The sequence below is a fragment of the Homo sapiens genome, chromosome 10, assembly GCF_000001405.40.
Source record: "Homo sapiens chromosome 10, GRCh38.p14 Primary Assembly".
Classification (NCBI taxonomy): domain Eukaryota; kingdom Metazoa; phylum Chordata; class Mammalia; order Primates; family Hominidae; genus Homo; species Homo sapiens.
In genome coordinates, this window is record NC_000010.11 from 27440426 (window position 1) to 27464946 (window position 24521).

Sequence of the window (24521 nt, forward strand, 5' to 3'; positions counted from 1 at the left end):
GGTTTTCTGAGGGCTTGGATAAAGAAATGTTTATTAGATTCTTTTCTTTAGCAACCCCAGTTATAGAAATGCTGAATTACATACATTATCTTCTGTATCTATTATCATCTTTTTAATTACTTTTATATATTTGCTTTTCTCCAGTTTATATTTAATATTTCCTTAAGGCTGACTTTTAAGTTTCTCTAAGTTCACTAGGAATGTTGACATTTTTGGCATGGGTTCGTTTTGGCATGGGCTCACTCAGCAAAAGTGAGGTTAGGAATGATAAACATAAGCCCAGGGAATTATTGGCTGCAGGTATTCTCTAGCTGCAGAGAAGGCTGTTAGATATGTACATGCCTCTGTGAGCTCCCTTCGGGAACTATGTAAGTGTAAACCCATAAGAATAAGGAATTGAGAGAGAAGACAACAGAAAATGAGAGCTATCAGCTGTAGCAGCTGACCTAGAAGAGCAGATAAAGATAAGAAATATTGCCTATAATCCGAGCGCTTTGGGAGGCAAAGGCAGGAGGATAGCTTGAGGCCAGGAGTTCCAGACGAAACTGGACAACATAGTGAGACTTGTCTCTACAAAAAAAAAATTTTTTTTTAATTAGCCAAACATGGTGGCATGTGTCTGTAGTCCTAGCTACTTGGGAGGCTGAGGACAGAGGATCACTTGAACCCAGGAATTCAAAGCTGCAGTGAGCTATGATTGTGCCAGAAGGCTGCAGTGAACGATGATCCTGCCAGAAACTGGTAAGGCTCAGGAATGAAAGCACCAGGTACCTCTGAAAAACAGTGCCAGGTAGAAAGCTAAATGTAGAATGGGTTGAAAGTCTGTGTAAAGATTAGACCATCAGGTTACTCATCCACAGCCTCTGTAGTCAGATGACTGCTCCTCCTCTATCCCGGTAGGAAACAATATCTTCCCTTGAAGCAGTCAAGCTAAGGATGCCTGGGTTCAGGAGCACCAGACCCAGGTGAAGGCAAGGGGATGGGATTGCCAGTTTTCTTTGTTCAATTTTTTCTTTTAATGGATTGTAAATTATAATTCTACTTTTGTTAGTCTACTTATAACTCTTTCTATTACTTTGTTATTATTATTATTATTTTAATTTTTAGTCAGGATGTGGAGGTTGACCAGGCTAGTCTCTAACTCCTGGGCTTAAGCCATCCTCCTGCCTTGGCCTCCCAAAGTGTTGGGATTACAGGTGTGAACCATTGCACCCAGCCTGTTTATGACTCTTAGATTTTACAAAGATTCTTAAGGTTATCTTTTTGAAACAATATCAGGAATATATATATGTGCTCTAGTTGATATAAGAAATCTAATACATTCAAAAAACCTCTTTACTCCTCCTCTGCATTTCCCCAGCATCCTTTTCCTTCACAGCTACCGCCCATATTGATCATATCTGGGATTTGTGTTCCTGGTTTTGCTATTAAAAAAACAACAACAACAACAAAAAACAAAAACAAAAAAGACCTAGTAGATTGGTAGTTACCAGAAGCCGGGAAGGGTAGCAGGAGAGGGGATGAAGAGAAGTTGTTTGATGAGTACAAATATATGGTTTGATAGAAGAAATAAAACCTAGGTCAGGCGTGGTGGCTGTAATCCCAGCACTTTGGGAGGCCGAGGTGGGTGGATCACTTGAGGTCAGAAGTTCGAGACCAGCCTGGCCAACATGGTGAAACCCTGTCTCTGCTAGAAATACAAAAATTAGCTACTAGAACTACAAATCGCTTGAACCTGGGAGGCCAAGGTTGCAATGAGCCGAGATTGCGCCACTGCACTCCAGCCTGCGTGACAGAGTGAGACTCCATCTGAAAAAAAGAAAAAAGAAAAGAAGAAATAAAACCTAGTGTTAGATAGATCAGTAGGGTTACTATAGTTTACAGTAATCTATTGGATATTTCAACATAGCTAGAAGAGATGAGTTTGAATAGTTTCAGCATAAAGAAATGACAGATATTTTAGGTGATAAATATCCCAAGTACATTGATTTGATCTTTACAAATTATATGAATGTATTAAATTTTCACATGTACCCCAAAACTATGGACTTCTATTATGCATCAATTAAAAAAAACACGGGAAAAAGAGAAAATTGGGATTATTCCTTAAAATTATAAATTATGTTTTTTCCGTGAAAAAAAAAAACCCAAACCTATTTAGTTTTAAGCAATAAAATATATCCTAATCACTTAGCTCACTGTAGCATTTTGTAGCTCATTTGAATGATTATTTGTCTGTTATCACATTTGGGGGTCAATATTTTTGTCTATCAAAACTTTAGAGATATTACTCTATCATCTTCCTGCATTGTTTTCTTCCAGCATTGCTGATAGGAAGCCTGATATGAATCTCATTCTAATTCCATATATATATATACACACACATATACACACACATATATATACACACACATATATATACACACATATATACACATATATACACACATATATGTACATATGGAATATATAAACATGTATATGTATATGGAATATATATACATGTATATGTATATGGAATATATATACATGTATATGTATATGGAATATATATACATGTATATGGAATATATATACATGTATATGTAATATATACATGTATATGTATACGTAATATATATACATGTATATGTATATGGAATATATATACATGTATATGTATATGGAATATATATACATGTATATGTATACGTAATATATATACATGTGTATGTATATGGAATATACATATATACATGTATATGTATATGGAATATACATATATATATACATGTATATGTATATGGAATATACATATATATACATGTATATGGAATATACATATATATACATGTATATGTATATGGAATATACATATATATACATGTATATGTATATGGAATATACATATATATACATGTATATGTATATGGAATATACATATATGTATATATACACACATATATGTGTATATCTGGAAGATATATATGGAATATATACATACGGAATATATACATACGGAATATATACATACGGAATATATACATACGGAATATATACATACGGAATATATGCATACGGAATATACATACATACGGAATATACATACATACGGAATATACACATACGGAATATACATACATACGGAATATATACATACGGAATATACATACATACGGAGTATATACATATGGAATATACATACATACGGAGTATATACATATGGAATATACATACATACGGAATATATACATATGGAATATACATACATACGGAATATATACATATGGAATATACATACATACGGAATATATACATATGGAATATACATACATACGGAATATATACATATGGAATATACATACATACGGAATATATACATATGGAATATACATACATACGGAATATATACATATGGAATATACATACATATGGAATATATACATATGGAATATACATACATACGGAATATACACATGGAATATATACATACGGAATATACATACATATGGAATATATACATATGGAATATACATACATATGGAATACACATATGGAATATACATACATATGGAATATATATGGAATATATACATATGGAATATATATATATTTTCCCTCCCTCTTTCTGTTTTTTTGTTGTTATTTTTTTATTTTTTGAGACGGGGTTTGGCCATGTTGGCCAGGCTGGTCCTGACCTCAAATGATCCATCCACCTCAGTTCCCAAAGTGCTGAAATTACAGGAATGAGCCACCGCATCCAGCCTCTCCCTCCCTCTTTCTGAAAGTTCCTATTAATGGATTTTACTCGGCAGGGTGCAGTGGCTCATGCCTGTAATCCCAGCACTTTGGGAGGCCAAGGCAGGCTGATCACCTAAGATTAGGAGTTTGAGACCAGCCTGGCCAACATGGTGAAACCCCATCTTTACTAAAAATACAAAATTTAGCTGGGCATGGTGGCGGGTGCCTTTAATCCCAGCGACTCGGGAGGCTGAGGCAGGAGAATCGCTTGAACCCAGGAGGCGGAGGTTGCAGTGACCATTGCACTCCAGCCTGGGCAATAAGAGCGAAACTCCATCTCAAAAAATAAAATAAAATAAAAATAAAAATAAAAATAATTAAAAAAAGAACTATGAGGGGAAAGGAATCCTATTGTTAAGTAGTTAACCAACTGGCTGGAGGTGCAGTGCTTTTAGTCATCAATGGAGATTGTACTGCATGTGTTATCTTTAGATTTGAAGGTGATCCCAGTACAAGAACTGAAGATGTTAAACTAATTTTGCTGAGGTAATAACTGATCTGAGGCAAGAAGAGTAAGTCTAGTTTACTGGATCAAGGGATAGGTTATTCTATTAGGGTTCTCCAGAGGGAGAGAAACAATAGGATATATGTATATGTAAAAGGGGGTTTGGGCCAGTTGCGGTGGATCATCCCTGTAATCCCAGCACTTTGGGAGGCTGAGGCAGGTGGATCGCTTGAGGTCAGGAGTTCGAGATCAGCCTGGTCAACATGGTGAAACCCCATCTCTACTAAAAATAGAAAAATTAGCCAGGTGCGGTGGTGCCGGCCTGTAGTCTCAGCTACTTGGGAGGCTGATGTAGAAGAATTGCTTGAACCCAGGAGGCAGAGGTTGCAGTGAGCCACTGCACTCCAGCCTGGGTGACAGATTGAGACTCTGTCTCAAAAAAATTAAAATTAACAAAAAAAAAAAAAGTAAATAAAAAGGAGGTTTATTAGGGAGAATTGGCTCATGGAATTACAAGGTGAAGTACCATGATAGGCCGTCTGCAAGCTGGGGAGAGAGAAAAGCTGGTAGTGGCTCAGTCCACGTCTGAAAGCCTCAAAACCAGGAAAGTCAACAGTGCAGTCTGCAGTCTGGCCGAAGGCCCGAGGAACATCCTCCCACACTGCCCTAGGAGCCACTGGGGCAAGTCCCAGAGTCCAAGAGCTGAAGAACCTGGGGTCTGTTTGATTTAGTCAAATTGTATTTGGAAAATCTTATACCCAAGTCATTCTCTATCCTCATCCACAACTTCCACATGCAAGCCATGCATACGTCTACAGGTGTCACAAGGATACATTTTGTTATTTTCTTTCTCATTTCAGAGGAATATATTGGTTAACAGTATTTCCTTTTTCATTTAATGTATTTTGTATTCACATATGTAAGTTACCATTCTTATGCTGGTAATTTTGGCTAAGAGAGCATACTTTCAAGGACTGATATATACATTCTTTTAATGATATTAGGAATCTGTGAATAAAACAAATGCATCTATCTAGTCATGTTTAGAGGACTTGCCTGCACCATTTATCCCAGCAATTAATTATGAGTAGTTGAGTAGTCCATGGGATCATTTTTTAAATCTGATTTCCTCTGAATTCTATCTGAAAGAAACTCTCCAAAATTTGTAAGATATGAATGGTACCACCTCCCGTCTCCAGCATTTTTGTAAGCTTGTCCCTTTTTGTTCAATTTCTTTGGTGTATTCTGCAGTTCCTATGTCACCATTTTAATGAAAATCCTACCTTTTAACATGCACTGAACTCAGTTATTGAAAGGCAGGTCATGTGTACTTTCTAGAATTATGAAAATTGCTTGGTGCTTTTTCCGTGGTTAGCAATCACTTAATTAGCATTAATAGTTTAATACTAATTGTGTTTTCATGTGGGTAGATGCAGCATTTTAACGAAATCTCCAGATTGTAAGAGAAATGTGTCTAAAAGTCCAGGGGAAATATCTTTAACAATATTTTAAAGGAGAAAGGAAGAGGATCTTTTGTTTGTTGGCTTTCCAGAATTTTAGTTGCGTGACCTTATTAAACTAACCACAAGATGGCATCGGTTTTCTATTTTAAAATAAATATGGTACATTAGACTGAGAATCCCTTTCGTCTTTCATCTTTGCATGTTCCAAGTCCTAGTTATAGCTGTCTCTTGAGTTTATCATTCATGAGCTATAAACCTAGTAGCAGCTGGATCACATTTAAAGTTGGTAGATAGAGTAATCAGTTTGTGAATTCCATTTCTTGGACCATATCCATGTTAAGGAGAGAATGGCTCAGCTGCTCTCCTAAGCATTTCAGATGAAATGTCAGAGTGCAGGAATTCACCAGTAATATGCAATGGAGCAAGTCTAAACCCAGGCTCACCGGGTATTTATGGTCCTTCCTTCCTTCCTTCCTTCCTTTCTTCCTTCCTTCCTTCCTCCCTTCTTCTTTCCTTCTCCTCCTGCTCCTCCTCCTCCCCCCCTTCCCTTCCCTTCCCCTTCCTTCCTTCCCTTCCCCTTCCTTCCTTCCTTCCTTCTCTCTCTTTCTTTCTCTCTCTTTCCTTTCTTTCTTTATCTCTTTCTCTCTTTCTTTCTTTCCTCTCCTTCCTTCCTTCCCTCCTTCTCTTTCTTTTCTCTCTTTCTCTCTCTTTTTCTCTCTCTCTCTTTCTTTCTCTCTTTCCTCTCCTTCCTTCCTTCCCTCCTTCTCTCTTTCTCTTTCTTTTCTTTTCTTTTCTTTTCTTTCTTTCTTTCTTTCTTTCTTTCTTTCTTTCTTTCTTTCTTTCCTTCTCTCTCTTTCCTTCCTTCCTTCCTTTCCTCTCTCTCTCTTTCTTTCTTTTCCTCCTTTCTCTCTCTCTCTCTCTCTTTCTTTTTTGAAATAGGGTCTTTCTGTCACACAGGCTGGAGCATAGTGGCATGATCATGGCTCATTACAGCCTCCAACTCCTGGGTTCAAGTGATCCTCCTTCCTCAGCCTTCAGAGTAGATGGAACTACAGGCGCATGCTACCACACCCGGCTATCTAAAAAAAAAAAAAAAAACTTTTTTAGAGATGTTGTCATGCCATGTAGCTCAGGCTGGTCTCAAACGTCTGGACTCAAACAATCCTGCTGCCTTGGCCTCCCAAGGTGCTGCTATTACAGGCCCCAGCCACCGTGCCAGGTCTTATGGTATTTCTTTATTACACATCAGCAGATTTTTCTACCCCTTCAAAACACAGCAACTAAATGTCTACAATTACTCAACAAATCAGTCACTACAAAGTACTAAATTTTATAGTAAAACATGTATGTTTCAGGATCTGGTTCAATCTACTCTCCTGACTTTAGATGATCTATTCTGATTATTTTATTTTAGTAATCCAGATATCCAGATTACTTATGCTTGTGTGGGTTTAGTAAGTCAGTTGAAAAAGACCACCATTTGTTACTTTCTTACTGGTTTTTTTGTATCATTCTATAGAAGGAATTTGGCTTTCTTAAAATGTGTAGAAAATAAAATCAGGCCAAATGTTCTATGAGCCCCTCTGCTGTGTTTGAGTTGTGCAACCCTTTCCTGTTGGTTTCAGAGCTCTAGACTCTGCTGCGGGTGCAGCCGTAACATGGCCTAGAAGCTACATGGCTTCTGGTGAACATGTCTGTTCGGGTTCTTCCTCTCAATTTCAGCCAACCCTTCTGGCCTCTAATCTGGGAATGATGTCCACTTTTCAGGATGGGCTTCTCTATAGGCCAGAAAATATTTTCTGCATGAGAAGGGTGAGGGTATTTGGTAATTCAAGAACATAGCTTAGAAATGAAAAACTTGTTTATTCTCTTAGTTACCCATATTCAGTTCAGATAAAGTTAATCAAGTAAAGCATCACTTGGTGCTAAGTTATCTCTCCTTCCTTTATCTCCTGCCATATGCAGATTCCATTTTCCTCCATTTCTTCCCAAGCAGCCCTCGTGTTCCGTAATTTTCTGTTCCCTGCTTTCTCTATCTAAGTCCCATTCCCTTAGGTCAGCTAAACCAAACTTGACATAAATAAAGTAAAATTGCCCACTAGTAACTACGTCTCTTTTAAAATTATACTTTAGTTATGGATTAGCTGTCTCTTACACTACGCTTGATTATGAGCAACTCAGAGACAAGGGCTGTGTCTTACTCATCCCAGCATTCAGTACTTAGAGAACACTCCACTGTTAGCCAAGATGGGGTGAGGGTAAAGGCATCAGTTGCAAAGATAAGAATGTTTTCTTATGTCAGTATCCCCTATTCTCACTACTTAGCTGTTGCTGCTTGCTTTCCCATAGCTCCTGAAATTATATAATTAAAATAGGCGGGTATAGGCCAGTCATGGTGGTTCATACCTGTAATCCCAGCACTTTGGGAGGCCAAGGTGGGTGGATCGCTTGAGCTCAGGAATTCGAGACTACCCTGGGCAACATGGTGAAACCCCATCTCTGTTTATAAAAACAAACAAACAAACAAAATATGGCACGTATAATGGCTGAAATGGATTCTGTGATAAATAGGTCTTCTAGGATCTGTTCAGATGCCTCTGTTCTAACGGAAATACAAGTTGTCTTTGCATCTTCTCGTCTGCCCCATCTTCAGCTTTTTCTCCCTTCCTTTCTTGTTGGGAATTTAAATGATATAAAATCTCCTATAAAAATTTTTCTTCACTTTTATAATAGTCTGCCACAGAACATTATAAAATCACTCAATTTTCTTTTTATAGGTTAAAAAATCTAAAGATTCAGTAAGTTGTATCAGATATTGAGGAGAGGATCTAAAACTGATATGTGAACAATTACGAAAGAAACTGAAGGAGGAACTAAAGTCCACAGCAGCAGGAAATGACCATGAATATAGTCTATGAATACAGGGGAAGCATATTGTTAAAATGCATATAATGTTATGGGCAGGTGGTAGACTCATTGATGGCCTCCACTGAATCATGGATCCCAACATATATGACCTTTTGTGGTTCCCTCCCACATTGGCTCTGGCTTGGCCATGTGACGCTTGGTCTAGTAGGGCATTAGCAAGTATGACACATGCATTTGGGATTTGCTTGCTTGGAAGCAAGAGAATGCAGGCTCCTATTGACTTGGTGGTGAGGTTCACAATGCTGATTGTAAAACTCTTAGAAGCATTTACATTGTTTTTGACTTTCATTAAATTCCTTTTTATACAATGAAATGAATCTTTAATTTCCTGTAGTATAGTGATACCAAAAAAAAAAAAAAAGATGCCCCAGGAATCAGCAGAAGACAAACTGGGGACTGCTTAAGGTAACGAAAAATAGAGATTTCTTTAATAGAAGTGTTACAGTTTTGAAGCTCAAACTAGGCAGAAAAGGACAAATGAGATCTTGAAAGCCACACTCAACATACAAAAAGGAAAATAAGATAAATTAGACTCGACTGCTCTTTGAGATTGAACTATATAAAAGGTAAATCACGGAGAGTGACTAGAATCTGAAGAAATCTCAGAGAGGAAACCAGAGTGATGTTCCCAGAGGGAGCCCAAATCCAGGAGATACCTGAGTTCATTCCCATGGGCAATGGGAATTCAGAGGTTTGGGATGTGCTCCAAGGTTTTATGACATCCTGGTTAAAAACATGGACTCGGGCCAAGGTGTTCAAATCTCAGATGTACCTCTTCCTATTTCTATGACTTGAGGCAAGTTACGGAATCTCACTCTCTTGCAATTTCTCCAACTATCAAATGGAGAAGAGGATATGTAGCTCATGAGGTTGTTACCAAGACCAAGTTATTTAAAATGTGAAATTATTTCAAACATGTGAAATTCAATAAGGGCTATGTGTTTGTTAGCTGTTATTATTTGAAATATTTTCAACATTAAGATTAAGGTGGGTTTTTTGTTTGTTTTATACATTTATCAAGGTAAGGAAAATTTTCTACAATTTTTTTCTTTTAATCATGAATGAGTTAAATTTTATCAGATCATCTGTGTGATACATTGGGAAGATCATATGATTTCCTCCTTCAATCTGTGTATTTGGTAAATGGTGTTATTATGTTTTCTGACCTCGAAGGATGCTAGAAAACCCTATATGTGAAAATACAATGTGGATTCAATTTACTAATAGTTTATATAGCATTTCTGCATCCATGTTTTTAGGTGAGATTGGCCTACAATTTTATTTTATTATTTAATGTGGGTAAGTAACAATGTTATTAAAAAGTTGCCTCACTTCTCCTTTTTATTTTCCACAAGAGTTTTTATAAGATAAGGACAACCTGTTACTTGAAAGATTGCTCAATCTCTTCTGTGGAATTATCAGGGTCTAGTGCCTTTAAGGAATGGAATTTTTTTTTTTTTAATGGTCTAAAACCTGTCTCTGTAAGGAATGGGAAATTTTAACAACCAGTTCAATTTCTTTGATAGTATAGGGCAAATCAGGTTTTTTATTTCTTCTTCAGCCAACTTTGGTAATTTATATTTTTCTAAAAATGCATTTATGTCATTTGTTTTCAAATTAATTGTCATATTTTATTGATTAAGATTAAACGTATGTTCTTTATCTGTACTTTGAGACCCTTTTTCTATTCTTAGTATAAATTTGTGTCTACTGTCTTCTTTCTCTAATAAAGCTTTTGAAGCTTTTTATACTTACTACTTTTTCAGGAGAAACAGGTTTTAATTTTAGAGTTTCACTCTGTTTTAAAATTCTTTGATCTTTCTGTTTCTACTTTGCCTTTATTTTCTTTCTCCAATTTTCTGTGTTCTTTTTCTAACTTCTTATATTATCTGCTTTTTGTTTTATAATAAATGCATTTAAAACTATAAATTTTCACTTACATACCAGACTAACTTCATTCTACATGTTTTGATGTATAGTGTCCTAATGTTTCAAAAATTTAATAATTTTATTAGATGTTTCTTCTTTAACCCATGAGTTATTTTAAAGTAGAAAGATTTCTAATTTAATTCAGTTTGTCTCCTAATAGATGTTTTAAACCCATTTGAACTTTTTGAGACAGACAGGGTTTCGCTCTGTCACTCAGGCTGGAGTGCAGTGGTGCTATCGTAGCTTGCTGCAGCGCCTCGATCTCCCAGGCTCAACTTATCCTCCCATCTGAGCCTCCTGAGTAACTGGAACTACAGGTTTCTGCCACCACACCAGGCTAATTCTTTTTTAATTTTTTTCTATTTTTTGTAGAGACATAGTCTCACTATGTTGCCTTGGCTTGTGTTGAACTCTTGGGCTCCAGTGATTCCCCCCGTCTCAGCTCCCAAAGTGCTGGGATTATAGGCATGAGCCACCACGCCCAGCCTATAATTTATTTTTGGGTTTATTTCTGTTATCCAGTTTTGTATTGTCTACCATGCTTTTATCCCCACCTACTTTTAAAATTTTTATTCTTTGCTCCTTTTGTTAGATATTATTCTTTGCTCCTTTTGTTGGATAATTCTGTTACCTTCTAAAAAGAACAAAAATATTTATAGTATTTTATTACTTGCTGAAACACTCAACTTTTGGTTACTATTGTTTAGAATTTTAATTCCATTTTGATTTTTTAAACACATACATGAACACTATTGCGGTTATTTTTTTCACAGTTAATACTTTAGTTCAGCAATATGTTTTCAAATTGATTTGCTCACCATTGCATTTCCCTCCCTCCTCCTTGAATCAGTTTTGTGGCTGATGCCCATTCTTCAGTAGTTTCTTTGCAGATGTCATTGAGGCATAAACTTTGTTTTTTTAATATCTGTGTATTTGTTTAATGATCTTCCTCCTTCAATGATAGTTTATTATATGTAGAAGTTTAGTCTCAGAGTTCTTTACTTTAGGTACATTGAAGATATTTCTCCGTGATCTTTTAGCATTCATTTTTGCTTATTTCTGTATGTGCTTTGCTACCCATGTGATGGCCATTTCTTTATAGTTAATCTGCCATTTTAATATTTTAATTTTTTTTTGAGACAGAGTCTCTGTCATCCAGGCTGGAGTGCAGTGGCATGATCTCAGCTTACTGCAACCTCTACCTCTCGGGTTCAAGCAATTCTCCTGCCTCAGCTTCCCGAGTAGCTGGGTTTACAGGCCCCATATGCTACCATGCCTGGCTAATTTTTGTATTTTTAGTAGAGATGGGGTTTCTTCACGTTGGCCAGGCTGGTGCTGAACCCCTGACCTCAGGTGATCCGCCCGCCTCGACCTCCCGAAGTGCTGAAATTACAGGTGTGAGCCACTGCACCCGGCCTTAATATTTTAATTTTTAATTTTTGTGGATACATAGTAGGTGTACATATTTATGGAGTACATGAGATATTTTTATATAGGCATACAATGTGCAATAGTCATATTAGGGTAAATGGGGTATCCATCACCTCAAGCATTTATCCTTTCTTTGTGTTACAAACAATCCAATTATACTCTTTTAGTTATTTTTAAATGTACAATAAATTATTGTTGACTGTAGGCACCCTGCTTTGCTGCCAAATACTAGATTTTATTTATTCTACCTAACTATATTTTTGTACCCACTAGCCATCCCCACTCTCACCCTGCCTCACCACCCTTTCTAGCCTCAGGTAATTATCATTTTACCGTCTATCTCCATGAGTTCAATTGTTTTAACTTTGAGCTCTCACAAATAGGTGAGAATATGTGAAGTTTGTCTTTCTGTGCCTGGCTTATTTCACTTAATATCATGTCTTCCAGTTCCACCCATGTTGTTGTAAATGACAGGAACTCATTCATTTTTATGGCTGAATAGTACTTCATTTTGTAAAATATGTACCATGTTTTCTTTATTCATTCATCGGTTGATGGACACAGGCTAATTCCAAATCTTGACTATTGTGAATAGTGCTTCAATAAACATCAGAGCGCAGATATCTCTTTGATATACTGATTTCCTTTCTTTTGGGTATATACACAGCAGTGGGATTACTTAATCATATGGTAGCTCTATTTTTAGTTTTTTGAGGAACCTCCAACTGTTTTGCATTGTGATTGCACTAATTTACATTCCCACCAACAGTGTATGTGGGTTCCCCTTTCTCCACATCCTTCCAGCATTTGTTGTTGCCTGTCTTTGGATATAAGCCATTTTATTTTATTTTTATTTTTATTTTTATTTTGAGATGAAGTCTTGCAGTGTTGCCCAGGCTGGAGTGCAGTGGCGTGATCTTGGCTCACTGCAACCTCTGCCTCCCAGATTCTAGCAATTCTCCTGCCTCGGTCCCCTGAGTAGCTGGGACTACAGGCACACACCACCGTGCCCAGCTAATTTTTTTTTGTATTTTTAGTAGAGATGGGGTTTCGCCATGTTGGCCAGGCTGGTCTTGAACTCCCAACTTCAAGTGATCTGACCACCTCAGTCTCCCAAAGTGTTGGGATTATAGGCATGAGCCACTACATCTGGCCTTGGATATGAGCCATTTTAACTCTGGTGGGATTATATCTCATTGTAGTTTTAATTTGCATTTCTCTAATGATCGATGATACAGAGCATCTTTTCCATTTGAATGTCTTCTTTTAAGAAATGTCTATTGAGATCTTTTGCCCATTTTCTAATCGGATTATATTTTTTTCCTACTGAGTTGACCAATGCATTCTTGATATATATATTCTTATGTATATTCCTATATATTCTTGTTATTAATCCCTTGTCAGATGGATAGTTTGCAAATATTTTCTCCCATTTTTTGGGTTGTCTCTTCACATCATTGATTGTTTCCTTTGCTGTGCAGAAGCTTTTTAACTTGATGTGATCCCATTTGTCAAATTTTTGCTTTGGTTGCTTGTGACTGGGGGTATTACTCAAGAAATCTTTGCTGAGTCCAGCGTCCTGGAGAGTTTCCTCAAAGTTTCTTTTTAGTGGTTTTATAGTTTGAGGTCTTAGTTTTATGTCTGTAATCCATTTTGATTTGATTTTTGTATATGGCAAGAGATAGGGTTCTAGTTTCATTCTTCTGCATATGGATATCCAGTTTTCCCAGCACCATTTATTAAAGAGACTGTCCCTTCCCTAACGTATGTTCTTGGCACCTCTGTCAAAAATGAGTTCAATGTAGATGTATGGATTTGTTTCTGGGTTCTCTATTCTGTTCCATTGGTTTTTGTGTTTGTTTTTATGCCAGTACTATGCCATTTCAGCTACTATAGCTCTGTAATACATTTGACGTCAGGTAATATGATTCCACCAGTTTCATTTTGTTTTTTTCCCTCAGAATAGCTTTGGCTGTTGTGGGTCTTTTGTGGTTCCATATAAGTTTTAGGATTATTTTTACTATTTCTGTGAAGAATGTCATTGATATTTTGATAGGGATTGCATTGTATCTGTAGATTGCTTTGGGTAATATGGACATTTTAACAATATTCATTCTTTCAATCAATGAACATGGACTATCTTTCCATTTTTTGTGTCCTCTTCAATTTTTCTCATTGATGTTTTATTGTTTTCATTGTAGAGCTCTTTCACTTTTTTGATTAATTCTTAGGCATTTATTTTATCTATTATAAATAGGATTACTTTTAAATTTTCTTTCAGAAGGGAGAAGGAGGCAGAGATTGCAGTAAGCCAAGATCGTGCCATTGCGCTCCAGCCTGGGTGACAGAGCGAGACTGTCTCAAAAAAATAATAATAATTAATAAATATGAAAGAGAAATAAACGGAGCTCTGAATGGGCTCTAATTTGATGTTTCTATCTATGCCTTGATTCATTTCTACTGTTTTTTTAGCCCCCTCCTGCCTTGCTTTTGTTTTACAGTCTAAGCACAGAGGGTACACTTGGAGAAGCATTTGGATGAAATCTGGTAAGAAACCAGTTGAAGTATATCGAGCAGCCCAACCCCAGGACACCCATATAAATCTAGAATGTAACCTTTGGAAAACGCTGACCTTGTAAATTAACCAGAAACATCAAAGAAGGAGATTATACTGTGTACATTCAGAATGCAAAAGAAAGAGCCATCTTTACTTGTGAAACAATGACCTTTGTTCTGCATCTGTGTTATGATGAATTCTCAAGTCTGATGAGGTGAGACTCCGTAGTTCTCAGTAGTTGGGTCCTAATGAGCTGGATTTTCCATATTGTCTAATCCACTTTGTCTATAGCTAGGTGCTTAGGGAGGCCACTCGAAGTCTATTAGATTGGAATGCTAAAAAACAGGTCCCCTGTGACCTAAGAGAGATAATATATCTCACTCATTAGGGGTACAACTAGGTTCCTGGCTTACTGGAAAAAAAAAGATTCTTATTATTTATATATTTTTATTTAATTTTTAAACTGAACTTTAGGTGTCTTTATTAACACTGAAAAGAATATCCTTATAAATAAAATGACAGCTCTGTAAAAAAAAAATCAGTTGGCATTGAAACTGGTGGATTATACTCATTCTTTACCTACAGACATATTACTAATGTTTTTATCTCATTGTAGATGACTTACAGGCATGTTACTAATGTTTTTAATCTCATTATAAACCACTTGTTGGCAAGAGTTAGACATACATTTTTATAGATGCTAAAAATGTAGCATTGGGCACAGTGGCTTACGCCTGTAATCCAAGTATTTTGGGAAGTCGAGGCTGGAGGATCACTTGAGGCCAGCAGTTACAGACCAGCCTGGGCAACATAGCAAGACCCTGTCTCTACTTAAAAAAATTAAAAGGTTTAGCTGGGTATGGTGGTATGTGTGTGTAGTCCTAGGTACTTGGGAGACTGGGGCTGGAGGATTGAGCCCACGAGTTAGAGGCTACAGTGAGCTATGATTGTGCCACTGTACTCCAGCCTAGGTGAGATCCTTTCTCTTAAAAAAATACACACACACACACACACACACACACAAACACACGCAATTCATTATATGATCTAGTGGTAAAAAGGCTTAAAAATTGGAAACATAAACACATGTAATTCATTATATGATCTAGTGGTAAAAAAGGTTTAAAAACTGGAACTATAAAGAGCAGAAAATGAGTCTCCTCTTTGCCCTAGATCACTTCTTGTTTCAATTTTCAGTGTTCCTGAGCTTTCCTTTCCAGTTTTCCCTCTGTTCCTGAATAGTAACCATTGTTAGCTGTTTCATGTGAATCTTTCCCAAACTCTATCTACACACACACACACACTGCATCTGGATCATGATGCATATATATATATGATTGTGATTGTCAGTTTTATGTGTCAACTTGGCTAAGGTACAGTTTCCACTAATTCAATCAACACTAACCTGGGTGTGTTGCTGTAAAGGCATTTTTGTAGATGTGATTAAAATCCATATTCTGTTGATTTTGAGTAAGGGAGATGATCCTAGATAATCTGGATGGGCCTGATTCAGTCATTTGAAAGTTCTTAAGAGCAGACTTGAGTCTTCCCTGAAGAAAAAGGAATTCTGCCTATGGATAGCAGCATCAGTTCGTGCCTGACAGTTCCAGACTTCTCTCCCTGATGGCCTGCTCTGTGGTTCTCAGACTGCCTAGCCAGTCTGACAGTTGGATACACATATTCCTTGCAATAAATCTCTTAACATGTATTTCCTACTGATTTTGTTTCTTTAGTTGAACCATGACTGATATATATAAATATTTCTACGGCTTGTTTTTTCACTAACAATGTGTCTTAGAGATGGCTTGAACCATGTCTGGCATATTATATTTCTGTAGCTTGCTTTTTCACTAACAATGTATTTCAGAGATGGCATATTTAACTGCTGCATAGTGTCACAAAAAATGTCCCACAATAAGGATATAGCATAGCTTATCTAATCATTCTGTTACGGTGGATATGTGAGTTGTTCACATTCAAATTTAAATTAGATTTAAATTTATTTTCACTTGCTACTTTGAAAATTGGCTCAAATGTCTTTTTGCATCCAGCATTGTAATGATAAAATCTAATATCAATCTGATTCTTCCTCTTTTGCAGGTAATTATTTTCCTTCTTTGAAGGCTTTGAAGATATTGTTCTTACCCTTTAATATTTCACAAGAACTTATCTATGGTTGTTTTCATCTGGATCAATTTTCAGTAGTCTTTACAGAAGGAGCAGGGTTGAAAAAAATAAAAACATTTCAGTAGTCCCTTTCAATCTGAAGACTCATGTCTTTTGATATTCTTGGAAATATTCTTCTATCATTACTTTTATTATTATTTTTTCAATACTTTCTGTTCTGTCCTGGAACTCTAGTTAGATGGTTGCAAGACCTTCTGGAATTCTCCCTCAAGCCTTAGTTTTTATTTTGTGTTTACCACCCATTCATTCCATTGCACTGCATTTAGGGCAAGGTAATCAGTTTGATCTTTCAGCTTTGTGAACATGCTCTTCAGTCATGTCCATTCTATCACTCAGCCCTGGTACTGAGTTTCATTTTAATAGTGAGTGGTATTTTTATATTTCTAAGATCTCAAATTGTTTTCATAGTTGTATTTTTATAGTTACGATATCCTCCTGAGGATATTAATTTTACTTTTATTAAAGGCTCATTTTGTTTGCTCTAGTAACCTTTTTCCCTAGGGAGTTACTTCTGTTGATTAAGTTGAGTATGTATCTTTTATGAGATTGGTTTTCCTCATCTGTGTGGTAATTGTTGGCTTAGGTCTTGTATTTGTGTGAGGTCTGTCTCCAAGGATGTGGAGGAGGAACCAGATGTGTTACTGGATGAGGAATGCCAGGTCCGCATCCTTAGGGGGTGCTCCTTGGACTGCTTCGACAATGCCATTCACAAAGGCCCTGCCCTGCCTCTCCACCTTAAAAACCCACACTTTTCTCCAACCTGAAGCAGATGCCTCAGCTACCTGCTACTGACAAAATGGGGAGGTCTGTGGGGCAGGGGGAAGGGAATCAATCCATCTAGCTAGTCATTATAGATAACAATTTTGTCCCAGGGCTCCTCTTTTCAATTTTAATTTTTTTCCCAATTAAAAAATGGTAAAATACACATAACATAAAATTTACAATCTTAATCATTTCTAAATGTACTGTCCAGTGGCATAAGGTTGCGCAACCATCACCCCCATCCATCTCCAGACCACTCATCTTGCAAAACGGAAACTCTGTATCTCTTAAGCCACTCCTTATTCCTTCCTGTCCCCAGCCCCCATCTAACCATCATTCTTCTGTCTATCTCTATGATTTTGACTACTCTAAATAAATACCTCAGACAAGTGGAATCATACAGTATTTGTCTTTCTGTGATTGGCTTATTTCAGTTAGCATGATATCCTCAAGTTTCATCCGTGTGTTAGCCTATGTGAGAATTTTCTTCCTATAATGGCTGAATGATATTCTATTGTGTGTATATACCACATTTTGCATATCCCTCAAACACTGACAGACACTTGAGTTGCTTCCATGTTTTAGCTGTTGTGACTAACGCTGTTATAAACATGGGCGTACAAAACTCATGGCTCTCAAGCCCCTGTTTCCCATCCTTGACTTGAGGATTTGGTCAGGGGAGAGCGGCGCAGATTCTTTGGTGCCTATTTTGCTGGTACTGTAAAAGGGAGAGCTACATGACATAAACCCTATTTTTTCTTAAAATTTTCATTGTGTGGTATTTGCATGTACAATAAAAATTGGAGGGTGTGTAAACTTTAATAGAACTAAAAGAATCTCAGGACAAAATGGCTGCTTAGTTACATCCTGATAATTTAGCCTAGGACAAGAACACAGGAAGTTTGTTTGTGTCATTTGTACCAATAAATCAAGCCCTTTACATTCGGTCATTTCAGGAGTAGCATTGTGCACTGTCAGGGGGCACAGGCTCCATAGTCAGGCACCTGTGTTCACATCCTGGGTCGACAGTGCCTTAGGTGTGTAACTTTGGACAAGTTAAATGGGGTAGTAGAGTACCTGCCTCTGAGGAGCTTAGGTAGTGCTGGTACTTTGTAAGAAGTCAATAAATTATAAGTGTTGTTTTCTAAACAGCAAAATAACTATGTTAGTATTTATAATGTTTAGAACAATTGTTTTAGTTATAGGAAGGCTTTCTGATCTTTACTTTTATGCCAGACCAGTGAAACTGACTCATCTAGAAATAGTTTCTGAGGTTTTTGTGCTTTGCCCTGGCTGAGCTCTCTCCTTCCAGCACAATCCCTGGGAAGGTTGGGATGGGGTAGGGACAGATAGCTTATGCTATGGCAGCCTCCTAGAATGTGGACAATCTGCAGTGCTTTCCGAGCTTGAAGATTCAAGTTGTGACACATTCTGCATTTTCTTTCAGCAGTGTGTAGTCTGAATTTGAGGTCTTTACATATATTTCTCCGTTTTGACTCTTTAGTACACAAGTCTACCAAAGGAACAAAATATCTTGCCACGGCACCACTACAGCTAATAAAAGAAAGAGACTTCAGAACTTTAAATTTAATTTCAAAAATTAGATATCTAGAAATAGTCTATTAGGCAAGGCAGTAGTTTTATTTTTTTCCCCAATGACAGTACACTGCACACAAATACATTTAAATAATTACAATTTTTAAAACTTTCCAGAGTGAAGCTCTGAAAGTGACAACATTCAGGCACTAACTTTGATAATGGGCAATTTAAACAACATATGGGAACATTTAGAAAAATCTGTAAGTCAATGATCAAAATTAATTCATTAGACATTTAGATTTCTGTCATGTACTTGCATAAGTGTTGCCTTATTCTGTGGGGCCAGTGGTTCTTTTGGTGACACACCATGTCGCAGCTGGAAAACATTACTATTTTCTGTACTTGTCAAAAATGTTTTGTAATCATTACCCTAATTATATATATGTGTGTGTGCATGTGTGTGTGCGTGTGTGTGTGTATATATATATAGTACTGAATCACGGTAAATAAAACATTCATAATAAAGTGAATTATTGGTGTGAAATGAACTGCATTTTAAAACAAAAATAAATATGAGTTGGATCTTGAGCTGAGTAGCAATTTTAAATTAAAAGCCATACAGAAATAAATGACAGCAATTTGATTTTGCTTTCTTGAATCGTCACACAACAGTTTTATATATTTTTAGTATCTAAAAAGCATAAGCTATATCTTAGACTTCACAGTTCACTTCTAAGAGCTGGTAATAATTTGTCATCAACACAAACTAATTAACCAATAAAAGTATTCTGAAGTGTTTAGTCTAATTATATTGTTGCAGCTAAGTCAGTTGTAAGACCTCCATTTTTGGCAGTTGTGTTTAGTATGAAAATAATCTTTGTCATACTTTCAGGACTTTAAAAATTTTGTGAATAACTGTTGACATTTTTTAATATTAGAGCTAAAGAATTTTACAGATAGTAGGGAGCTAGGCAGTTATCTGGGCTACCTCTTTTATTTTACATAAAACTTTGGAGGTTACAGAGAAGAGCTTAAATGGTTTATTCCTGGTGATTGGGATCTGTTATTCCTACTTCACTTCTCTATATTTTTCCCTCTTTATTTTTAGCAAAGAAAGTTCTGCAACACTGATGGCTTTATTTTTGTCTATTTTTATGCCATAGCTAATAGAGTATGCGTCTTGGTTTGCTAAATGTACTTTCTTTTGGCTATTCAGTAGAAATACTTGTCTCGAGTCTATAACTTGTTGATGGAAAGAAACTTCAAACTCTGTAAAGTATTTTAAAGAGGTTTATTCTAAGGCAATATGAGTGGCCATAGCCCAGGGAACGGTCTTGAGAACTTCTGAGAAAGAGTGCCCTAGGCAATTGGGTTACAATTTGGTTTTATACATTTTAGGGAGATGGGAATTGCAGGTAAAATACTAAATTAATACATGGAGGGTAAACATTTGCTCAGCCCAAAGAGGTGGGATATCTTGAAGCGGGCAGTGAGATGAGGGGTGGGGTGGGGAGGATTACAGGTCATAGGTGGATTCAGAGATTTTTCTGGTTGGCAATTGGTTGAGAAAGAGTTAAGCTTTGTCTAAAGACTTGAAGTCAGTAGGAAAAAAATGCTTGAGTTAAGATAAGGGGGCTTATGGAAACCAAAGTTCTTGTTAAGTAGATAAAGTCTCACAGGTAGCAGGCTTCAGAGAGAATAGATAGTAAATGTCTCTTTTTGTATCTTTAAAGGTATCAGATGCTTGGTTAATCTCTCCTAGATCCAGGAAAGGCCTGCAAAGGGAAGGCCTGTCTGCATTAATGGAGATTCTCTACAGATGCAAATTTCCCCCACAAAGACAGCTTTGTGGGGCAATTTCATAATATGTCAAATAAATATATTTTGGGTTAAAATATTTTGATTTCTCTCTGGGTCTGCTATGTGTCACGCAATCCTACACCAGAGTCAGGTTGGAATTTGGTAGCTTATTGCCACAAAGAGTCTGTTTTTTCAGTCTTGTGATCTCTATTTTAATTTTATTTAAATTTATTTTAAGTACTTTAATTTTATTATTTTTATTAATAAAAGTTATTACTTTTATTTTATTAAATTAATTTATTTTAAAATTTATTGTAATGTTGGTCAGTTGTGTCTAAACTCCAAAAGGGAGGGGGTATAATGAGGTGTGTCCAACCTCCTTTAATGTCATTAATTCAGTTTTTCAGATTTCTCTGGGGTCCCCTTGGCCAAGAGGGAATCCATTTAGTCAGTTGGTGGGGGCTTAGGAATTTATTTTGTTTACAAACCTATTAAACTTTCAGTGGCCTTCAGAGAAATAGTCCTTATCCTGATGGCTGTCTTCTTATGTTTACGGTACCACCAGCTGATTAATTTACTTAAAATAATTAGAACTCTCTTGGGTATAGTGAAGGAAAATCTTTTTTTTAATAAAATCACTTTAAAAAGTAATTCTGGGAGGCCGAGGCTGGTGGATCACGAGGTCAGGAGATCGAGACCATCCTGGCTAACACAGTGAAACCTGGTCTTTACTAAAAAATACAAAAAATTAGCTGAGCATGGTGGCGGGCGCCTGTAGTCCCAGCTACTTGGGAGGCTGAGGCAGGAGAATGGCATGAAGCCGGGAGGCGGAGCTTGCAGTGAGCCGAGATCACACCTCTGCACTCCAGCCTGAGTGACAGAGGGAGACTCTGTCTCAAAAAAAAAAAAAAAATAATAATAATAATAATTCTATTAGTCCGTTCTCACACTGCTGTAAAGAACTGCCTAAGACTGGGTGATTTATAAAGGAAAGCATTTTAGTTGACTCACAGTTCCGCATTGCTGGGGAGGCCTCAGGAAACTTACAATCATGGGAGAAGGCAAAGGAGAAGCAGGCACCACCTTTGCAGGGTGGCAGGACTGAGTGAGTGCAAGCAGGGGAAATGCTAGAAGATTATAAAACCGTCAGATCTCGTGAGACTCACTCATTATCAGGAGAACCATCCCCATGATCCAATTACCTCCACCTGGTCCTGCCCTTGATACGTGGGGATTATGGAGATAACAATTCAAGATGAGATTTGGGTGGGGACACAGAGCCAAACCATATCAGTAATTTATTAAATATATACTATGGACTCTTATAAAACAATGTAGCTTCTGGAAGATGTGGGGGATAGCTGGGCCTCAAGGACACCTGGAACCAAGCCTTGTTTGCCCACAAGATTCTTATGGTTTATCTGTTTGTTTGTTTGTTTGTTTTTCTGCCTGTCTTGGCTTCCTTCTTTTTGAAAACAGGTGAATTTTTCTCCAAAAGTCTGCTAGGAGACCGGAGTTTGAATCGTTAAGCGTTTCACAAGTCCAGTTGTAAAATTCTAGGAAAAGGACACTGATTGGCTTAGCATGGACCATGTGCCTGCTTAAAGACCAGTCAACTGATGCAAGGAAATGAATTACTACCGTAACAACATCTTGGCTCAGGGGACCACTCTTGGAGGTCAGTCAGTTGTATCCAGGAAGTGGGGTCATAGCAGTTTCTGTCATAACCATGTGTGAGATTAGCCAAATTACTTCAAAGTTTCTGTGCCTCCATTCCTTCATCTGTAAAATGGGATCTAATTGTTCCCCTCTCATAGAGTTCTTTCATCATTCTTTGTAATAGTGCAAACCTGAAACCTGAAAACAATGTAATATAGACATTCATTACTGTATTAGGCTGGTTTGTGCATTGCTATAAAGAAATACCTGAGACTGGATAATTTATAAAGAAAAGAGGTTTAATTGGCCTATGGTTCCACAGGCTGTACAGGAAGCATAACACAGCGTGTGCTTCTGGGGAGTCCTCATGAAGCTTACAATTGTGGTAGAAGGTGAAGGGGAAGCAGGCATCTCACATGGTGGGAACAGGTGTGAGACAGAGAGAGAGAGATGCCATCCTTTTAAACAGTCAGATCTTGCGGGAAGTCACTCACTGTGGCAAGGACAGCACCAAGGGGATGATGCTAAGCCATTCATGAGAAATCCAGCCCGACGATCCCATCATCTCCCACCAGCCTGCACCTCCAATACTGGGGATTACAGTTTAAACATGGGGTTGAATTACAAAGGGACAAGTTAAAGAAGTTGGTGGACTCAAGCAGTTGACTGCTATGCAGCCAAAATATATGTTCCCAACAGAAGGTGAGCTGCTTCCTACAATACACGTGACCATTTTCCCCGGTCCCTCTAGTTTGCAAAGGTGAGGGCAGAGCTCAACCTGGAGTGTAGAGCCTGAGACAGAGGGACCATGCTACATGTGTCCTAATGGGAAAGGGCTCTTCTTGAGTAAAAAGGTGGTTACTGAGTTTTGCTTTCTCCTATAGAGGAAAGATGAGCAAAAACAGGGAGATGGGGACCTGGAGAAGAGAGGGTGCAGAAGTGGCCAGGTGGGGACACCTGTGATGGTAGTGGGGGGATTTGTTGGCAAACTACAGCTTGTAGGCCAAATCCAGCCCACTGCCTGATTTTGCACGGCCTAGGAGTGAAGAATGGTTTTTACATAAAATAGTTGAGAAATGTTTGAAAAAGAATATTTCATGACTTGGGAACATTATATGAAATTCAAATGTTAGTGTCCATAAGTAAAGCTTTATTGGAAAGTGCCAGACCCCTGCACTTACGTATTGTCTAGGGCTGTTTTCCCCTGTGCAGAGTTGAAGAGTTTGACAGAGACCATATGGCTTCCAAAGCCTAAAATATTAACTGTGTGACCCTTTACTGAAAATGTTTGCTGACCCCATCCTTATGGTATAATGCGTGGATTTTTGGAAGAGTAAAACAAATGTAACATTTGCCAAGCACTCATTCTTGCCCAGCAGGGCTATAAGCTCTTCTCATGTATGTAATAGAATTCTGTGAACAACCCTATATGGCAGGTACCATTATTATCTTCATTTCACAAATGAGAAAATTGAGACACTTCAGTAGTTTTCTCAAAGTCAGGCCATTAGTGAGTAGAAAAGCTGGGATACGAACCTAGGCTGTCCAGTTCCAGAGCAATAATCTGGTTTCACTTTCTGTGATGTAATTCCTGCCAGTTATCCCTCAAAAATACCAGTATCACTATGCAAACCATCACTTACTTGATCAGTCTTGCTGTGGAGAAAGGGATTGGGCTGTGCCTACACTTGGGGTGCAATGGGAGAGGACGCAATGGGAGGGGACAGTAGACTTGAGGAGTGGCACCAGTTCACTCCTGGGCTTTACATTCAATGGCATCACAGAATGGAGGAAATCATTGTGTGTGTGTGTACATAGAAAATGTCTAGTAGGTTTCACCCCAAACTGCAAACAGTATTTGCCCTTTAGGAGTGAAATGGATAATATAGAATTAGGAGATGTCTAAATTTTAATCCTATGCTGTTTGAAATTTTAAGTGAGGTTGTAGTCTTTGTAATGCTATTTTCAGAAACCCACAAAATATGGTGAAAAGAACTCTCTGGTCTGGTTTTCCCTTTTGTGAGGTAAATTGACTTAACTC